At 37.1% G+C, this 16,600-nt stretch overlaps 1 protein-coding gene across 2 annotated transcripts; it reads right to left on the bottom strand.

Annotated features, from left to right (window-relative positions):
• Positions 1-499: 499 nt before the first annotated feature.
• Positions 500-14,674, bottom strand: AMTN (amelotin). 2 transcript variants are annotated; one of them, NM_212557.4, is made up of 9 exons: positions 14,589-14,674; positions 14,412-14,480; positions 10,405-10,488; positions 9,310-9,375; positions 8,282-8,371; positions 4,485-4,520; positions 4,033-4,059; positions 1,943-2,204; positions 500-788 (listed from the first exon to the last, which is right to left on the bottom strand). In NM_212557.4, exons 2-9 carry the CDS (start codon positions 14,463-14,465, stop codon positions 778-780), a joined length of 630 nt encoding a protein of 209 aa, NP_997722.1. In that variant the 5' UTR covers positions 14,466-14,480; positions 14,589-14,674; the 3' UTR covers positions 500-777. The 2 variants fall into 2 exon arrangements, with proteins under 2 accessions (NP_997722.1, NP_001273660.1); NM_001286731.2 differs by having other exon boundaries at positions 10,405-10,485.
• Positions 14,675-16,600: the final 1,926 nt, after the last annotated feature.

Genomic DNA, 16,600 nt, shown 5'->3' with positions numbered 1-16,600 from the left:
TTATATTAATCCCCCTCACTATAGATGAACTGCAATGGTCTGTTATAAGTTTAAATCAGATTAGTTTCTACCTTTTAGGTGAATGGAGCAAGAGTATCACCTTGGTTTGTTTTAGTGATTATGATTACTTTTTTCAATGCCATTTTTCACACTCAAGCATACCAAAATTAAACATTAAATGCCATTATCATGAGTTCTGAATATAAACACTTGAGGATAGGCAGAATTATGATTTGTAATTCTTTGTACTGTATGTTTTAGATGTTCAAAAGTACTCTGCTTATTAAAAATTAAGTTTGTGACTCTTATAAGAAAGCAAATGATGAGGTAACTGTGAAGAGACCAGAATTTGTCTTCACATTGCTGGATGTCCCTTTCTTGACTGCTGTGCTTCCTACTTCCAAAGAAAGTTCTAGACCTGGAGTATCATGTTAGTGCCCTGAGGAAATGTAGTTTCTGTAAGGGCCAACTTTCTTCCATCTCCAAAGAAGAAAAAGAGTCAGTTTTCCAAATATGTTTTAATATGCATATCATCCAGGCAGCATAATGTTATATTTCAAAGACAGATTTATCCATTGAATTATTGTTTTTAAAAGTTGGGATTCTCTACATAGAACATATTTTCTGAAATTTCAAGAATATTTTCAGGTAAATTAAGAATTAATTTCTTCTAAGACTATCCAATGTGTCTCAATCTATTCCATAATATAATCAATGATAAAGATTCACATGTATCACCAAATTCGAGGCAGCTTAGTTGAAAAAATTTGAAACAGCTTACTGAATTCCTGGAAGAAAATAAAACACCTTTTAAATGTAGGTAAAAAGTATATTTAACATAAATATCTTTTACTTGAGATCCAAGTTTCTTTTGCAGGATTAGGAGCATCCATATCATTCTTTAGTTATCTCTAAGGATATTTGGTTCTAGACATTTTCACATGTTAAGCAATTAACTTTGCTTGTGGGTGCAAGAAAAGCTTATTTTTGTCACATTTCTTAGGTTCCATCTAAGAACGGCAGATGGGTTTATCTGCTCTGCTAGCTATTACTAGTGCCTGCTATTACAGTAGGTAATCACTAGTGGCTGCTTGCAGTATTACAGTAGGAAGGTTCTGAGGCTCCATCAGTGAGTGGAGACAGGGTCATGATGAACTGAAGTGTGTCTCCTATAGGCTTCTATGTGCGTGTGTGTGTATTGGGGCAAGGAACACATTCTGCTTTCAAGTATTTTCAGTTCTGACCCAAAATGGAACATGTGTTATGCCAACAATTAAAAATCTTTCAGGCCAGTCATGGCGGCTCATGCCTGCAATCCCAGCTCTTTGGGAGGCCGAGGCAGGCAGATTGCTTGAGGCCAGGAGTTCTAGACCAGCCTGGGCAACATGGCAAAACCCCGTTTTTACAAATAATACAAAAATTAGCTTGTATGGTCAGGTGCGGTGGCGCACTCCTGTAATCCCAGCACTTTGGGAGGCCGAGGTGGGTGCATCACTTGAGGTCAGGAGTTTCAGACCAGCCTGGTCAACATGGTTGAACTCTGTCTCTATTAAAAATACAAAAATTAGCCAGCTGTGGTGATGTGCGCCTGTAATCCTAGCTACTGGGAGGCTGAGGCATGAGAATCGCTTGAACCTAGGAGACGGAGGTTGCAGTGAGCCGAGATCATGCCACTGCACTCCAGCCCGGGCAACAGAGCAAGACCCTGTCTCAAAACAACCAAAAACACTCACACAAATTCTTCCTTCAGTGTTAATACCTGGGGGTTGGTGGCTGAGTAAAAATATTCCCTCATGTTGCTGGAGTTAACTGTGAGTGAGTAAAGGGGCTTCCTAATCTTACTAAGATCTGCATTTGTCAAGGCAAGACAAAGAACTCCTCTTTTCCATTCTGCAGATGACTTTTATAGCCAAGAAGCATGTTCCAAGCTAGGAGAATTTACCATTTGCTGATTCTGTGGTGGCTTCCTCGATGGCATGTGTGCTCCTTTGGATGCCTGCAGGGGTGGTCACTGCAAAGTCGTCATCTGTGCCACTGGGAGTTGGGAGGCGGCCTGCTGGGGTTCCCTGGGTGGCAGGATTTACACCTGCTCCTCCTGCTGGAAGGCTTCCATCCTGGACATCTGGATTAGCCCCTGCCTGACTGGTGGGCAGGATGCCTCCCGGGAACAAGGAATGGATGATGAGGCTCGTGAAGATTTGTGGCTGGAATGAGGGAAGCAAACAGAAAACAAAGTTAAAAGCAACACATTTTCTTTTCTCTTTTAAGGGGAGCAAGTTTGGGTAGGAATGGAAAGATGGAGAGAGTAAAGTCAGAGAAGACAGCAAAGACCTGGCATTCCTCAGGGGAAATACACCCTTGGTCCAGCCTAGTCTGATTCAATACTGGGACTCTTTGCTATGCTCCATTTCCCTCAGAAATAAATTACATATTATTAAACCTAACATGTAATCTTTCTTTTGCTCATAACATTTTTTCAAAAAATAAGAGCATAAAAATTAATGGAAAAATTGATTCAAGTAGATTAATCCTGATGGCTTTCATCCCTTCAAGTTTTTTTGATGTATTTTTCAAAGGCATTGGAATACTTAGTTAGAAACATTTATCCTGGCAATTCAGCTATTGTATGTTCCTTGAAGATACATAAAGAATTCCTGTCTATTGGAGTTTTTCATTTTTAGAGAGATTCTGATCGAGCAGGTCTGGAGCAGGACCTAGCAATCTGCCTTTTTAACCAGCTTTTGATGCCATCCTGATTTGCTGGGCAAGGAATGAAGTTTGGGAAACACTGTGTTACATTTAAGAGATATTGAAACCAGAATTAGACTTACGCTGGATGACAGATAGGAGCAGAGTACAGACGTTTTCAAACTGAGGGTTGTGATATCCACAGTTTTGAAGTAAAAAAGGTGAGTGTCAGTCATCATTAAACAATAAAACAGGCAGTAGACTAGTAGTGCATTCTATATAGTAAAGGTGAATGCTGTTTCGTGAATGTGTGTGTGTGTGTGTGTGTGTGTGCTAAGCTGCATGAAAAATGTAGTTGCTATTGTGAGTTGTGTTAAAAATGTTTGAAAAACCACTAGTGTAGTAGGTTAAAAAATGGCATTGGATCTGGATCCACTCTTTTCTTCTCATTGTTGCCTTTGAGGCCTAAATTACTTAAACTTTTAACCTCAGTTTCTTTATCTGTAAAGCTGGGTCAAAAATATCTGCTTTGTGCTTTGGGGAAGGTTGAAAGCAACATATGTAAAGGATCTGCTAAAGTGCTGGTTATATAGAAGAACCTTCAGTAGCTGGATATGGATGTTCATGCATCAATGTTGGCAAAACAGACACTAGCCCCATTCCTTGATGATTATTTATGGACAATATAGAAAATATCTACATTTTCCATAATAGAAAAGCTGTTGAATAACTGTGTTCCCAAATATTGCCTCAATTCTGTACTGTTGTCATGTTTAGATATCATGTTAATTCAAGTCCTTTTCTCTAGAAAAGGACCTATGGAGGAATGCATAGAAGTGTTTAGCAATGGTGATATGAACTATATTTAGGTACAGCCCTCCAATTATTTATGTGTGTAGGAAAGAGTTCATTTATCACTATCTGACGCTGGAAAAAGATATATTTTTCCATAAAAATTAAATATCCAAGTCAAGGAATTTAATCTTTCCTGTAAAAAGTCAATATTTATGTTATTCTACATTTGCATACATTTCAATAGTTTATAATCCTAGACTGAAATCCTTATGAAGTTAAAAAATGTGCACTGCCTTTCTGGATAGAACTGAATCTGATAGCAATAAACGGAAACAAAAGCTAAGTCAAATTAATAGAAAAGTAGCTGGAGAAGTATAATGAAATCCCCAAACAAAGAAAGGATAATCTAATGTAAGGAACTATAAAAATGTTCAGTTCATTGTAGTACATACCATATTTAGGATTTATGGTCAAAAGAGACTATATGAGGACAGAAAACATTGTGATAGAAGTGAAAATAATTTGAAATAGTATTTTTATTTTTTTTACCAATTCCTCTGAGCTTAGGATAGTGCCCTAAAAGCAAAATGACAAACACAATTTGTTAGACACATTTTAATGTATTTGTAGTAATATATGTATAATATCACTTAAAACTTAAAATACTTTCAAAGATTATACAGATTTTGCCTTTCCAATAATATGTTAAACTGCCTTATGATCTATATTACAAAACTCAAGTCAGCATATGATGTGAGACTGCTGACATTCATTTTTTGAGTAATGAGTTAATCTCCATCCAAAAAGTATATATTTTTCTATCATTAAGTGGATGTTCATTGAAGAAAACTTATGCAGAAAGCAAGCTCTTGTGATTATCAGTGTCCATACAGTACAAAGTACATTGGAAACCTCACAACTATCTAGTGAATTGAGGAAAGAAAATCACCTTTCACAGCAAGGTGATTTAAAATCAAGACAATATTAAGCATAATTTTTACCTGGGCTCCAAGTTGTGTGACAAAAATTGGTAACACCTGAAAAAATGAGAGAAAAACTCTTTCAAAAGTAAGCTCTGGAAGATGGTATAAATACTGATATCTTTTTTTGGAGATGGAGTCTTGCTCTGTTGCCCAGGCTGGAGTGCAGTGGCATGGTCTTGGCTCACTGCAACCTCTGCCTCCTGGGTTCAAGTGATTCTCCTGCCTCAGCCTCCTGAGTAGCTGGGATTACAGTTGCCTGCTACTATGCCCAGTTAATTTTTTATATTTTTAGTAGAGACGGGGTTTCACCATGTTGGTCAGGCTGGTCTCAAACTCCTGACATTGTGATCTGCCTGCCTCAGCCTTCCAAAGCTCTTGGATTACAGGCATGAGCCACCTCGCCCGGCCATTGATATCTTCTTAAAAGGATATAGTATCTGTTAAACAGATATTTATTACTAATGTATTATCTATAATCATAGATATAAATTCATAGATCTGGATGGGAGTTTGGAACTTTTCCAATTTGTAAAAAGAATATTAGTCCCAAGAGATTTAGAAACCAGTTCAAGATAGCACATTTAGAAGATAGAAGTTAGTAAACTGGATAAACAACAAAAAAAAATTGTTCTCAAGAAGTCTCCAAACTGAAAATTATTTCAAGTAACAATAATGTTAAAATGTACAGATTTCTTTCAAATGGCATCTCAGAAGACACATTAAAACACGCGATGGGTATTTTCAAATGTGAAGATTTCTTGAGGTATATATACTTAGTCTTGCAATAGTTGTCTGGACATCTTGCTGTTAAAATAAAGCAATTATAGGGAATATTGCTCAGTAACCCCTGGCATTGGTATAGCTCTTAGTACTAGGCGAGAAATAATTCAAGGGTCACTGATAACAAACTAAATATTATAAATTTAGTTCACAAAAAGATGAAAAAGATTCGAGTGAGGTGTTGGCATTCTCCCATACTCTGCTACTTTGAGAACCGGCCAGAAGTTTGTCAAAGAAAGCTAAGGTTTTAAAAATTTATTCTTATTTCTATAGAAAATTCAAAGTGTCAGGAAAGTAATCAAAATGGGACTCTTAATTTCATAATTACCAAACCAGAAGATTTGAAAGTCTTATGAAATAGACTGTTAACTATTGTTTCCCAAGACAGTTGGTGCAGGAATTATGGAACTATGGAATGCCAACAAGGAAAAATTACGTACATTTATTAAAAAGCCTTACTCACAATCAGGTCCTTCTCTACTGACAAAAAAGGACAACAAAACAAGAACAAAAAACCCAACTAGCCTTCACGTGGCAATGGGAAAGTGGTTGGTATATTTTTGATTTAAGAGAAAATGAAATGGAAATTTCTTTTTTAATGGAAAGTTGGAGTGGAAAGAACAAAAAGATAAAAAGAGGAAACCATAGATGTCTAAGTAAAAACTGTAATGAAAGGTACTCTAATTGTTCACCAATATAACAATAAAGAGGACTTTTTTCTTAGTTGTCGGTAGAGAAATTATTTGAAATCGTAATAACACATCGCATGTTTACTATGTGGTAGGCATTGTTTTAAGTGTTTTCCATATATTTACTCATTTGATCTTTGCAACAGCTGTAGAGGAAGGTTCTACTTTAATGCCCATTTTAAATTTTGAGCAAAATGAGCCACAGAGTGGTTAAGTAACTTGGCCAACATCATATAAGTAATAAGTGTAGAGCTGACATTTAACCAGAAATTGTGTGGTTCTAGAGTTCACAAGCATGGTTCATTTTTCTTTGATAAATGCGAGCCACCAGTAGGTGTCCAGGTTGTGGCAGAGATAATAAGCCACTCTGCACAGGGAAAGGCAGGGTTGGAGGGACTAGAGCTGCCCAGGGGAAGGTCAGGTATGGGAACCCTTGGTGGTAGCACATTCTAGAGACATTGAAGAATTCCCACAGCAAATGGGGACTGATTTATAATATTGCACAGAGAGTGTACAACGTGAAACTCTCTGTACTGAAACTTTTGTAACATCTCCAGGCTCCACTAATGCCTTGACTTAGGAGGGTACTCTCTGGGGAACATGAAGATGCAGTAAGTCTACCTTCAAGGTTAGAGGAGGGCAACAATGGAGACTGAAGCTGGGCAATCAGTATGTAGATTATAGTATGATCACCTGTTATGGAGAGTCTCTTTTTATTTGCATCTTAAATCTTTTACAGAGGTTCACTTTTATTATCAAAAATTTTATTATCAAGATACTTTGTGTGTCTTTGGCTCCAGAAATTGTGTTCCTAAGAGTTGGTCCAAAGGAAATAGTCATTGGAATATCATAGACTTAGTCACAAGGATGCTCACTGTAGCATTGTTTATAGAAGCAAAGACTTTGGAAAAACCCCCAAATTTTCATAATAAGTAATTTAGTATACCATGGACTACTAAGCAGTCATTAAAAACAACATTGTGAGTGAATATTTTAAAACATGAAAACTATTCAAAATATATTTGTGGAAAAAAGCATGTTACAAAACATTATAGCAAAAACATTTTATTTAAAAATGTACTTATGTGTATAGAAAAAAGACTGGAAGGACATACTCTAGAATGTTGACAGTGTTTGATTATGGCTAATGAGATTCCAAGTGAATTTTATTTTATTTTTTGCTTATATGTAAATTTTAGAAAATTTACATTTCCTAAATTCTTTATAATTAACATATATTACTTACACAATAATAAATGCTTCTACAAAAAATTAGACCATTATGTTGGATAATGGGGGCCGAGGTCACATGTTGGGGAGAATAAGTTATCTACAAACAACTTAGTCTTGCTGTAAAAGGATTATTGTATTTTCCTCCAGAGACTTTCTTTTCCTTCTCTTTTTTTTTGAGACAGAATCCCCCTTCATCACCCAGGATGGAGTGCAGTGACACAATCGCTGCTCACTGCAGCCTTGACCTCCCTTGCTCAAGTGATCCTCCCACCTCAGCCTCCCGAGTACTTGGGACTATAGGTGAGCCCCACCACGCCTGGCTATTTATTTTATTTTATTTTTTGTAGAGATAAGTCTCACTATGTTGCCCAGGCTGGTCTCAAATGCCTGGGCTCAAGTGATCCTCCTGCCTTGGCCTTCCAAAGTGCTGGGATTACAGCGTGGGCCACTGCACCCAGCCCCTCTGGAGCCTATTACACTATTTAGAAAAGTTTCGATAAGGTAAAAATTTGGAATTTGTTCAATGTTAAAATGCAAACACTTCAAAAACAGGTGATGCCTAAAGTATGTCGTTTATATCTTAGTGTAAGAGGATTTTCAGGTTTCGTTTTTTTGAAAGCAAGTGATAGTGGGAGGTGGTAAATACTGAAAAGTCCTTGGGGACTTTCAAGGGGGAATGAAAAGGCGCAAAAATGGGACAATTAGATTTGCTGAAGATAAACTTTATCCACCTCTTAATTTTTCTTTGAGATGATCTTGGTCACCAAGAAAGTCTTCAAGAGAAAACAATATGCTAGAGAAAAATCCTGGGATCTCTCAACTTCCCCCCATGTATTTTTCACTTTTCAATCTTCCCCAACTTTTCAAGGTTTCCTGTCCATTAAACATATATTCTAGAGAAGTTGTGAGGTAGCATGGTCAGTTCTCTGGGTATGTTTATGAATTTTCATTAAGAACCAGATTGTCAAATACTGGTCTATGTTCAGCAGAACATTCGTCAGTTAATAATCTGGGCAAAATTTTCAAGAAGCTTTAAAAAATTTCTACTGTAGGCTTTCACCTGAGAGAAAATGCTCTCTAATGTTAAAACTAAGGTCCAGCTGTTCAACTTACATGTGGGTGCAGTTGCTGTTGTACATTCAACCCTCCCAGGGTCAATGGGTGGGTCTGGGTACCAGGTGTCATTCCTGCAGCAGGATTTAACTGTAGGGCAAGGAAGAAGACTTTCATTGTATTTTTTTTCAGTTTGGACATTTAGGAAACTAAAATGTTTTTACTAAACGTAAAATATATTTAAAGGAAGGAGTTGCTATGTAAATACATAGTGTTCTATTGCATGTATACTTAGACACAAAGATGAAATTTAAAGACTTATTTAGTCTGCTTGTACGACTACAAGGGCTATTGCTAACTTTTCCCCTGTTAAGTTTTTCTTTGGCATTTAACCTATTCTGTTTGAGAATTACTTAAGTGATTTATTTTTATCTTTGCTTTCCCCTTTTGGCTACAAGAGCAATTCTTCCTGAAAATTTTCTGATAGCTTTTTTACAATTAAGAAATTAACTCCTCTAGGTTATGCGTGAAAATTATGAGGTTCAGACTACATATTTTGTCTGGAACATGAGCTATATTTAAATTTGACCACTAAAAAAATCCACTTTAACTCAGGAAAGAAACTTATTGTTCTTCTCAAACAGATTACACAGATATTCTATGAGAGGGCTGAAGATCTATACAGATATTCTATAAGAAGACACTGAAGATCTTTGTCTCTTCCAGTTTGCTCCTGTCATTGTGGGTGATAATAGCAGTGATAGTGTTTATGTGGATGTGTGGATGCTGTAGGGGCATTAAAGAAGGTATGGTGGAGGAATGGAGAGAGGAGGAGAAGAGGTTAGAGAAACTGGAGAAGGAAAGAATTAGATTAATTTGTTTAGAGACTCTCTTGCTAAGAAAAACGTTTAATGATGTCCAACTCTCTTGGACTCTTCTCTCCTCTCTTTCAACTTATCTATGTGAATAAGTATATGTGTGTTTTCATTTGTGGATATACGCACCCATATACATGCTCCCCCCACTGTAATATTAGGCATTATATTTATTTCACAATGGGTATTAAAATAATATAAACAATCACTTACCAGATGCAGATCTGGCCCCAGTGTGAGCATCTGTGTTAATGGTATCAGACTTAAAGAAGGAAAGACCTGCAGGGGATTGAAAGTGATGTATGAGACAAGAGGTTGTCTGCTTCCCTTACTCTGTCAGTGGTGGATATCCTCATGTAATTGACAGTCCTGTCAGAGGTGGGTTTACCATGAAGGTAAATAAAGATGAAGCCTCGGGGCCTCTCACTAGCATTGCTCCCTTTGTGGCCCTGGGAGGTGCCCTAGCAATGTCTCAAGCTTACGGTACTTATCAGCTTAAGAAAATTTGTGATTTACTGTTATTTCTTATCACATTATAAATATTTATTTCAGTACTTAATTTTACATATCGAATTTTGTATTCTTTTTCTTAAAGAAGGTTCCCAAATTGTATAAGATTCAGATTCCTTAAGCGGGGAGAATGGGTCTTGACTTGAGTGTTCTGTTGACTGAGGAGAAGACTTTAGACTCTAGTGTTATCTGATTATATTACTTCACAAAATGTAGAAGTAGGTAAGCCATGGCCCTTCACAGCAGAGGAAGAGTTGAAGTGGGAGGGAGGGCAGTAGCCAAAAGATAATGCAGTTTTCAAAAGTATTTAAATACGCTTTGAAGAAACAGATTGAACAGCAACACATCAACACATCAGCAACAATGAAACTTTACAAAGCCAGGAGGAAATCTGCAGTTATTTTTTATAGATCATCTCTGATTCCCTGCTATTGCTGGCAAATACTGCATATGATAATGCCACAGTACCTCAAGTCCATAGATGACCAAGCTTTGTAAACAGACGTAGGTATTCCTTTTCAAAGTTGACTAGATTTCACTGCTAAACCAAATTATTATTCAGATAAAAGGAAAAAGAATTAGAGTACTTTACTTTTCCTATTCAAATTTTTCAGAAAATTATATCGGTTCTTTTCCCCACTCCCAAACGAAAAGCCTCTCTCTTGTTCAGTCTTGTACAGTCTTCATGTAAATTTTGATTTTAAACCTACCAGTCTTAACGTGTTTTCTTTACCGGTTTGTACATGTTCCGTATTTTCTTTACCGGTTTGTACATGTTCCATATTGTAGGACTCTTACCTGATTTGACTGCTGTTGGTTTGGTAGTGTTCCCTGATCCGGAGCCAGTTTTGTGGGAGGGAGTCCCAAAGCAGGTTTGAGCTGCTTTTGTGAAAACAAATACATATTTGATGAGGCAGGAATGTGTTTAAGATTTTGTGTCCATTTATATCCAGGTTGCCACCAATGCAAACATGTCTATCTTTTAGGCTTTGTGTATTTTAGAGGAGTTTGATTCCCTGAAACATTATGTGCATGGTAGGACATGTAGAGTGGAAAAATGCCAGCCCAGGAGGGGTGGGATGGTGTGGAGGGAAGGGGGCTGGGATGAACCCAAGCAGATGGGATGTCTTGTGGTGGTTCCTGGCTCCCATTTCTTTTCTGTACCTTTCTTTCTCTTTTGCCAGGACATGAATATATAATCTGTACCTTAGCTCTGTGCACATTTGCTTTTTCTCAGGGCTTGAGGTAAGCTGCCGTCATTCTTACTACCTTTTCATGAAGCTTCCCACTATTGCCATGCCTGCCACATCGGTCTTGTAACAGAAGTTCAGTTTTTCTTCCTGGCCTGGATATTTTATTAGTGTATTAAAAATCACTGAATTTTTAGATATGAAAATATTCCTCCTACACATTTGGTCTAGTTGTATTATTTTTTTCTAATAGATGAGGCAACTGATGCTTACAGTAACTTGCCCAAGGTGACATGGTGAGCAGCAGAGCCAGTGCTAGATCCCTCTAAGTGCTCTTAGTCTCCGAAAAAAAAACTTCTCTTTTGCCAGGTTGACCAAATCTGCTTTTGCTCCTGGAGGCATCCTGGAAGGCACAGGGGTGTGGCCCTCTGGCTCTGCACCAGCCCTTGAGTCATCTAAGGTTACCCTGGAGCAGTTTTGGTTTCACGCTGGAATTTCCCCCTTAGTTATGAGGAGAGGTTGGGGCTGGGCACGGTGGCTCATGCCACCGTGTAATCCCAGCACTTTGGGAGGCCAAGGCGGGCGGACCACTTGAGGTCAGGAGTTCAGGACCAGCCTGGCTAACATGATGAAACTCTGTCTTTACTAAAAATATAAAAATTAGCTGAGCATGGTGGTGCACGCTTATAGTCCCAGCTACTCGGGAGGTTGAGGAAGGAGAATCACTTGAACCCGGGAGCCAGAGGTTGCAGAGTGAGACTCTGTCTCACAAAAAAAAAAAAAAAAAAAAAAAAAAAAAAAAAAAAGAGAGGTTGGTATTATCTGTTCTAGGAGGTCCCTTTCAGCTTTAAGATTATATATACATATATATACATAAAATACATATATATAATATATATAAATTTTGTAAGTAAGTCTTTTCATCTCCCACAATCTATTGTTAGTATAGTAGCCAGAGTGACCCTGTGAAAATGATGGTCTAATCTTGTTGCTTCTTTTCTCAGTCTCTGCAATGACTACCAATTTTTTTTCTTTTCTTTCTTTTCTTCTTCTTTTTTTTTTTTTTTTAAGTGGAGTCTTGTTCTGCTGTCCAGATTGGAGTGCAATGGAGTGATCTTGGCTCACTGCAACCTCCACCTCCCAGGTTCAAATGATTTTCCTGCCTCAGCCTCCTGAGTAGCTGGGATTACCGGTGCACACCACCACGTCCAGCTAATTTTTTGTATTTTTAGTAGGGACGGTGTTTCACCATATTGGTCAGGCTGGTCTTGAACTCCTGATCTCAAGTGATCCGCCTGCCTTGGCCCCCAAAGTGTTGGGATTACGGGCGTTAGCCACCGTGCCTGGCCAACGACTGTCAATTTCACTCAGAGTAAAAGCCAGAGACCCCACAGTGGTCTACAGGGCTCTGGGCCCCCAGTAGCTCTCTGATCTTTCCTACCTCATTTCCCCTCCCTCACTCTGCTCTGGCCATCCAGCCATTTTGCTGTTTCTGCAACAGGTAAAGTCCATTCCTGCTTCAGAATTTCACCTCCACCTGTTCCCTCTGTCTGGAATGTTCTTTCCCTGAACATTGGCTTTACTCTCTCACCTGTTTCTTTACTTGAATTTCCCTCTTATTGAGGCCAAACCTGACTGCTGTCCTGAACATGCAGCCTGCCCCTTCTCCACTGTGCACCACCAGCCTGCTCCATCTCACCCTGCTCTGGGATCTTTTTTTCATAGTGCTCACTATCTCCTAACCTGTCATGTGACCTACTGATTTAGACTGCTCACCATTTATCATTTATTTCCTTGCTAAAATATAGACTTCACTGTGGTTTATTCAATGATCCATCTCAAAAAGATAAATCCATGTCTGGCATATAGTAAGAACTCAATAAATAGTTGTTGAAGGAATAAAATCTTGTTTTCTTCTAGAGCCTTCACTTTCTGTAAATTTGATTTGTCTTGTATTTATTTCTTCTACTCATTGTGTTTTCCATCTGGTACCTATCCTCAAAATTTTGATCTACTGAAAATAATTGCTAGGCTGTTGTATGTGTCCACATTTGCAAATGGATTCACTCTTTTTACCTTTATGCTAACTCAATACATTCATTTACAAATAATAAAAAATACCTTGTCTATGTGTCGTGATGTTTCATTTGGTATTGTTTCCATACTGAATAGACATTTCAGTGTCGCCTCCCTGCTGCCCTGCCCCACTAGCTCTCTAGCTGCTCTCATTGTCTATTAGCAATCTGCTGTGGCCTGCACAGCCGGCCTGCTCCACCTCAGCCCACCTCACATGAGAGCTGCACTCCTGGAAAGTTTTGCTTGTTTTGAGTTTTCACCAATTATGTGGTAATTTAAATATACTAGAGAAACTATTTTGAAGAATCTTTCGGTCAATGTATTTGACGAAGTGAAAGAACCATTTGTTTTATAAAAAAATTAACTTCATACTTTACCTTGTTTAGAAAATTAAACTTTTACAGACAACTTCTTTCAAGGAGGACACACACACACAGACACACACACACACACACACGTATGTAGTATGTATTTGGGATAAAGTAAGAAGGAGGTTGGCTACCGTATCTTGCTTCATCCTCCCCCCGCATAATCCCACCCTGTTCATTTCCTTCACATAAATAATCACAGTTATTATTTATAATTTAACATTTCTTTAAAAATCATTTGAGTAAAAAATAAAAAAATTGGCAAGTGACATTGGTAAAAATAAAAAAAAAGTTAAAAAAAAAATTAATGTCTACAATCCTTGTGAACACCATGAAGGATTATGCCTTTTTTTCCCTTCTCACTATTGTTTCTTCAGCACCTAGCACAATGTCTGGCATATAGAAAGTTTTTAATAAATATTTGTTGATTGTACGAATGGATGCAGAAGTATTGAGTAAGCTTGAGGCCCAACTAAGTATGCTTTCTTTTATTCTGTTATTTCATAGCAAGTATATTGTAATTTTTTTCTTAATGGTCTTGAACCATCTTGAACAGTCAAAGAGAAGTCCACCTAGAGATCCAAACCATTCATCCCTATGTCTACAAAATAATGGAGTAAATGTTGGAGTTATAGGGCTTTTTAATTTTTTCCTGTTATATGTGAATACTATTTATGATTTAATGTTCTAAGTCAAAAATTTTGATCATTTTAATCATATGCCTTTGATATCATATGTTTTGGTGGTCTTTTTAGAATTTATACAATCTAGATATTTAGCATTTCCAAGTAGAAAAATTAGAAAATATAGTTCACCTCTTTATTCATGAGCAAATAACTAGTTGCCAAGAAAAAACTTCTTTTTGGAAAATAAAATAATCATCCACTTAACACATTCATTTTTCTCCTAATTTCTAGCCTATTGCTCTGCCAAAATAATTGACCTTTTACCACGATGGAGTGGATGCATTTAAAAAAATGCAAGTACATTGAAATATGTACCAACAGCTTATTAGCTTGTCATTTTCTGTCTTGGAAAATAAACACTGGACACTCTCAGGGAATGAGTCACAAAACAGAGCAGTTTTGATGGAGGGCAGGAGAGAGGTAGGTCTGCAGCTAGAGATGCTGTTGAAACTGGCTGGCATATAAAACAAACATAACATACTTACTGGTAATGACCGAGTTGATCCTAGAAGACAAAACAGTAGAATCGTACTCCTCATGTTTCAGATTGCTACCTACAACAACAAAAAAGTGTTACTCTTCCATGTATTTTTTTTCCTTTTAAGAGAAAATGATACTTTAAAAACAAAAGTTCTACTTGAAACATGGTCAATTAATGTTACCTTTGGGTCCACGAGGCAAAATGTACAATACTCAAGGTCCAGTTGGTTTCTCAAGTTTACTCTGGTGAAAAATTTTACCCTTCAATGATGTATGTGTTTGTAGAAGAAATTTAAACTCAGTTCCAGGAGATTGGAAACTGAGAGACCAATCAGGATTTAGCTGTCTGTTAAATCATTTGTTTTTTTTTCATTTCCCAACACTTCATTAGGTGGGTTATTAGCTGCAGACATTATGTTACCCAATGTCTACCATTTGAATAGAAGGTGTTTCAAGGAGACAGGCCTTATGTAATTAAAAAAAGATGCAGACAATAAAATAATTTAAATGCTTCTTCACCTCCTTCTTCTTCCCAAATGATTTCTCAGATGTACGTGTTTTATCATGTAAGTATGAATACATAAATCAAACATCAAAATATAGGGCTCTGTACAAGGTTTAAAAAATGAAGTCTACTATGTAGATTGCTCTGGAACTTATGTTTACTTAACAAATAATGGACAACTTTATGTGTTAGTACATACAGGTTTATTTTATTTATTTAATGGGTACACATCATTATATCACATTTTGATGAACATTTAATCCATTTCCAGTTTATTTTGTAATTACAAAGGTATCACAAGCACCATTCTTATAAAACCTTTTTTTCACACATATGGGAGTATTTTCGTAGGTGTTATTCTTAGAAGTAATGTATCAGAGGATATGTACATTTAAGTAATGTATCAGAGGATATGTACATTTAAGTAATGTATCAGAGGGTATGTACATTTAAGTAATGTATCAGAGGGTATGTACATTTAAGTAATGTATCAGAGGATATGTACATTTATGGCCAAATGGTGAATGGCTTGCTTTATATTAAACAGGGAAAATGATACTATAACCTAAGCAAAACACAGGGAATCAACTGAGATTTCTTTTACAAGAAGAACAGTTAAGTGCTACTTAACATTTTACCATGAAGCTGTGGGCTTCACCTGGAATTTTTGAGATATGCCCCAAAGGGAGGTGGAGGTCTGTTAATCAATTTCTGAGACCATTTCAATGATGAGCCTGTGTCGCACCAGGATTTGGGATTTGACCTTTAAAAAAGAAAAACAAAAAAAACCTATAGAGTGTCTATGAATGGAAAATTAACTGAGATGATACATTTTTTTTTCAAAGCTTCTCTCTAACTGTTCAATTAATCTATATAATCAATGTTTGTTACTCTGATACTCTGTTAGGAATGGGGAACATTATGTAGGAGGAGAAATACAAGATCAACAAGTATGTGCAAATATAGGAGTATTCAGGTGTAAGAAAGAGTGTGGTGAATTTTGTTGGGGGCAAAAGGACAGGAAAAGCTTAAAAGAGGAGATCATCCTTGAGTTTGGATTTGAAGAATAAAAAAAAAATTTATGAAGAACGCAAGGAGAGCACCCAGGCTGATCAAAGGTCTAGATTTGAAGTAGTGACATTGCTTTCTGTCACTGGAACAAGATGGGGTGAGGATAGCAGTGGAAGACAGGGTTGGAGATGATATCTAATTTTAACTACCTATAGCTTTTTTTGGTTTGTTTCTATCACTGATTTTGGCACTTGGTCAGATATTACTTTATATGGCTTTTTTATTATTTCTTGACTTTTTGTTTCTCTTGAACTAGATGGAGAGTTCCTGGGGCCGCATCTTATATTTCTTGTCTTTCATGTTTGTAATATTTTAAAGCATCATATGGTCATCGAATGTTGACGAATAAATGGTAAAGGCATATACTGTGGGGAAACAGAGCAAGATTGAGTTGAGGGAAGATTTTAGAGAAGAGATTGGGCTTTAGGTGGATTTGGAGAATAAGTATAATCCACAAGACAGACTAGCATGTTAAAGTGGCTGATAGTGAGAGGAGCAATGAGACATAGTGCTGAAGGATGTGGAAGGAAAGCAACTTTAGGTTCTCATGGGCTTTCACAGGCAAATTCATTGTTTCTTTTATTCAATCAATTCATTTTTCCAGCTCTCATTTAACAT

This window comes from Homo sapiens, chromosome 4 (assembly GCF_000001405.40).
Source record: "Homo sapiens chromosome 4, GRCh38.p14 Primary Assembly".
In the NCBI taxonomy this organism is placed as follows: Eukaryota; Metazoa; Chordata; class Mammalia; order Primates; family Hominidae; genus Homo; species Homo sapiens.
The sequence above is the reverse complement of the archived record's forward strand: the minus strand, read 5'-3'. Positions and strand labels throughout refer to the sequence as shown.

Bases quoted from the DNA above. Each gene is read 5' to 3' on its own strand.
- AMTN (NM_212557.4), bottom strand. From the start codon at position 14,465: ATGAGGAGTACGATTCTACTGTTTTGTCTTCTAGGATCAACTCGGTCA. The intron at 4,060-4,484 runs GTAAAAATTATG...TTTTGCTTTTAG, and splicing joins TCACACAACTTGGAGCCCAG to GGCACTATCCTAAGCTCAGA. The intron at 2,205-4,032 runs GTAAAAAAAATA...CCCTCATTCCAG, and splicing joins TCCTAAGCTCAGAGGAATTG to CCACAAATCTTCACGAGCCT.